At 39.2% G+C, this 4,490-nt stretch overlaps 1 annotated feature.

Moving 5' to 3' along the window:
* Positions 3,441–3,490: a silencer, noted in NCBI's record as "silent region_18377". NCBI's record gives its function as "represses an Ori minimal core promoter by ATAC-STARR-seq in GM12878 lymphoblastoid cells {active_cell/tissue: GM12878}" and the evidence as "EXISTENCE:reporter gene assay evidence [ECO:0000049][PMID:35858748]".

Below are 4,490 nucleotides of genomic sequence, written 5' to 3' on the forward strand. Positions count from 1 at the left end.
AAGAACACTGTCATTATAATTAGATATTTTAAATATACATGTAAAAAAATGCTGAGAGTAGGCACATTTGTATAGAAGTTTAAGGATGATTTTTAGGCCTAAAATTTTCAAATTTGCAACAATGTAGCTATATTACATTATTATTTACAACAAATTTACTCTTAAAATATTATGAAAGAAGCAGTCAAAAGTGAAAAGAATCTGGTTCAGGAGTAGCCATCTCCAGGGAAGGAGTGGTCAACCTCCCACCCACCTGTTTCCTGAAGAGAAGGACAAGCCTGGCCTAAGGGTCATCATCCACCATGGACCAGCCATCCTGAGAGAAGCTTGGGAGGGTGTACAAAGCTCTACCAGGCCACAGCATCTTCAGGGAGCTCAGGGAGCTTATAGTGCGGTTCCAGAGGCAGAATAAAATAATGTGTGAACAGAATTTTAAATTACATATCCTCTGAGGATAACAGAAGACACTATTAATTAATTAGAGGGAGTCTCGGGAAATTAACCTTTGTCTCACACAGTAACTGATATTTGGATTGAACTGGCCTCTCTTGATAGAGATCTCATTTCACCTTCAAGCTCTCTGGCTCAATCCTTCTTCTCTGGAAGTCACATATTAAAACAGCCTGGTACTTACCAAGCCAGGAGGTCCACTGTGAGTGTTCCCAGGGCCTAGACTCAAATGTGGACATAGAGCAATAGACTGAAGACTTGGCCCTTCCATGACGAGCCCACTCTTTAGAGGCTGATCACCAGGCCCAAAGCATACTCCTCACAACATTTCTTGACCCTTGGTGGAGTGAAGGTCAGCCACCTCTAACTTGTAGGAGTGTGAAAGGGAAGAAAATTGCACATGAAAGAGAGAAGAAGCAGGTAGCCAAGATCTAGGGAGGGGACATTAATCAAGTCTAGTAAAAAGGGTCATTTAAAATTCTAAAATCAATACAGCTAATGCATTGGCAAAGAGCAAAGATACCTGAGCAATGCTGAATACATTTATTATCTTTAATGCCAAAAGACTTTTTTATGCTATTCCACTTAATATCACTGTAAAGGAAGTTCAGAAATTGGATTATATATAAGAAAAGTTGGAAATGTCATTCTGGGTCAGAACAAAAATCCATCTAGATGAGTACTTTGCCTTTGACAGTGGCACCAGGGGAAATTTGGGAGAAAGAGCAGTTGGCACTTCTTGTGAAGCCAGCCTCAGAACTCCCATTTAATAACCCATTGTAAATCTTTTTTGTACATAGATGTATCTAAACCCTTCCAGAGTCCTCTATCTATTTTGAAATATGTTGGTATTACAGTACCAACAGGAGAGAGCTAGTGCTGAATTGTTAGCTCAGCTTCCTAACCCTCTGATCAAGTAGCTAAAATATGTTTTCTATCCTTGTGCCTGGATCAGCCAGGGATTCGACAACTCCATATCCTTAGGGAGCACTAGTAAGTCCAACAATGGGGCCATAGACAACCCATAATGAGCGACTTATCCCTGCTCTTCAGTGAAATGAGCACATAATTTGTGGTCAGCAGCCAAGGCTATGAGTATCAGCTCTGCCATTGACTAGCCCAGGGCCCTTGGGAAAGTCTCTTAAGTTTTTTGAGAATTTAGTTAACATGCCTGCTTTAGTTAACATGCCTGCTCTTAGAGATTGCCATTACCACACATATCATCTCACAGAACTGCTGGGGGTACCAAAACAGGCATGTGTGAAAGTGCTGAGTAAAGTATGCACAATAGACTTGTCATCACTAGGTCCAAAATTTCCTGGCCACTGGTGGTAGCCTCTTGATTTATTTTCTGATCACTGGCCCTCTAATTTAGGAAGAAGAGAGTGTAGAATTTACACTTAATTAGCACCACTCTCTAAAGTGGTAGTGTATCAATTTTGAGTTATGCCTCCTTATCAGTAAAAATTTGAGTTCTTACAACAAATTTACTTACTTATATATAAATGTTATGTATATATTATGGTGCTAGTATATGCAATATAAAACCTCTACAGAAAAAAAATCTGTAAAGACAGAAAATAAATACACATAGAAGGGTCCATAGTCCAGTGGATCATTCTGCACGCCCCTGGGATGCATGCACCACCCCCTTCCATTTTAGAGAGTATTGCACTAAACAAGGATGGTCTTCAGGGGAGGAGGAGCATCAATGAACTCCTGAAATCACATGTTAAATACACTTTGTGGGTATGTGCATTTTTCTTGGAAGAAAAGTCCACAAATTTCATCTGATATTCCTAGGGGTCCATGTCCCAATTAGACTTTATAAGCCACTGCACAAAAGAAGTATTATCCACATCGCTAAACCCTGGACTTTTCTGAACTATGACTTTCTCTTTTTTTTTTTTTTTTTTTTTTTTTTTTTGATGAAGTTATACTCTTGTTGCACAGGCTGGAGTGCAGTGGTGCGATCTTGGATCACTACAGCTTGAACTCCCAGGTTCAACCTACTCTACTACCTCATCCTCCCTAGTAGCTGGGATTACAGGCATGCACCACCATGCCCAGCTAATCTGATATTTTTAGTAGAGACAGGTTGTGCCACGTTGGTCAGGCTGGTCTCGAACTCCTGACCTCAGGTAATCCGCCCTTCTCGGCCTCCCAAAGTGCTGGGATTACAGGTGTGAGCCACTGCACCCGGCTTGAACTATGACTTTCATATCTCATCTTAGGTGTCTTACTCAGAACATGCTGCTTCTCCTACCCTAAGACCTGAGAGAACCAACCAGCACCAGTCCAAATGTAAATAATGGTTTGTCTTTTATTCTTCCACTTTTCTGGTATGAGTCCTCTGTCCTACGCTTTAACTAGGCTTGACATATACCTTATGACCTGTACTTTGTAACATAAAAATACACCAATCTTCAGAATCTTTTTAAAGAAGAGCAAACAAACTCAGTAATGGGGGACAATTAATTGAGCTATGCCTTTTAGGTAAAATGTGCTTGTATTAGTTTTTTTAATTTTGAAAAGTGATAGAGTTTAACCTAAAAATTATTGCAATTTCTGGCACTGTAAAATGTCTTGAGGACAATACTGTAATTGTTTTCCAGGGATCCTCAAATCACCTAATAGAACCAAATCTTTTCATCTGATTGCTCCAAAGCAAACCTATTATTCTGAGCTCCAGACATAGGATTAATTCTGGCCAAAATTAACAATCTTACTGGAATCTAGAAAGGTATCCTTAAAATTGAGATTCACCGTAAATTTAAAGACATTTTTAAGCAAAGCACACAATGCATTTTTACTATCAAAGTGAACATATTTTTGTAGTGTAGTATTGCTCTTGGTGTCCAATGGCTTAATTAACAACAATAATGATGAAATAAAACTTAAACAACATCTTTAAAATGGAATCTATTAATGCTAGGCAGAGTAAGAACACCTAGTGCCAAGTGGATGGACCTTTCTATCGCTACAATATGTCAATTCGAGTTCAATGCTCCCCCTGCTGGCTGGATAACAGAACACCTCAGTCCTTTAACAGTGCCGCGGGCATACCATTGGAGAATGAAAATTCCAATTTAAGGGGAGAAAATAGAACAGCTTCCTGTGCTTATATCCTGTTAACTCCAGACACACAGCCTTCTCCTCAACTTCCACAGGGGTCTACCTTCATGTTCTCAGTACTCCCTATTTTACTTTCCCTCTCTGATCTATCTTTAATATTTCTCCCATGGAGCCAATAAGTGGAAGCCACAAAGAAACAAACATAATCTCAAAGAATGAACTTTTGGATGAGTAGAGCTGTCCGATGCTACAAATATTGCCCCGAGATAAAGTGAGCACCTTTGAGGATTTAAGTAAAGGGTGAGTGGATTATATGGAACAGAGACAAGAGGGTGTGATAGAAAAGAACCAGTGTTTAGGAATCCAGAGCTATTTGGATTTGTATGCTGTCCACCATTTCCTAATCTATTAAATGGGGATGATAATAACACTATGCACGGGACTGTAAGGTTCAGAGATATGAATGCATAGCAGCTTGCAAGGTTGGCAGGACGTAAGCACTCGGGAGCATTAGAACCATCACTATCATTATCCCCTCGAGCCTGAATCCTCCCTAAAAGCCTTTAATTCCATCACCAAGAAAAGTAACCACCTTTTCACAAGTACTATCTTCTCTAACAACAGTGGCCTAAAATGATAGCGCATCTACAATTCAATTATACTGCAATTTCCCTTACCACAGATAGCTTCCAGCAAAGTCTCAAATACTCATAATTTGGTGAGTCCTTCTCCACAACCCAATAGAAAATCATCCAGTTTTTATTAAAAGCATAAAAATCTCTCCAATTTTTTGCAAAAGTAAACCCACAATTCCACCTTCACAGTCATAAAATAAAATTGCTGACAAAAGGAACAAATTTGCATTTAATATTTAGCTGGTCTCTGCCTTATGCCTTTAGAAGTGTGTCCAATTTTGAAAAAAAAAAAAAAAAAGAAGGTTTCTAAGCTTAAAAATGGCTACTTTG

The sequence above is a fragment of the Homo sapiens genome, chromosome 7, assembly GCF_000001405.40.
Source record: "Homo sapiens chromosome 7, GRCh38.p14 Primary Assembly".
Lineage (NCBI taxonomy): Eukaryota > Metazoa > Chordata > Mammalia > Primates > Hominidae > Homo > Homo sapiens.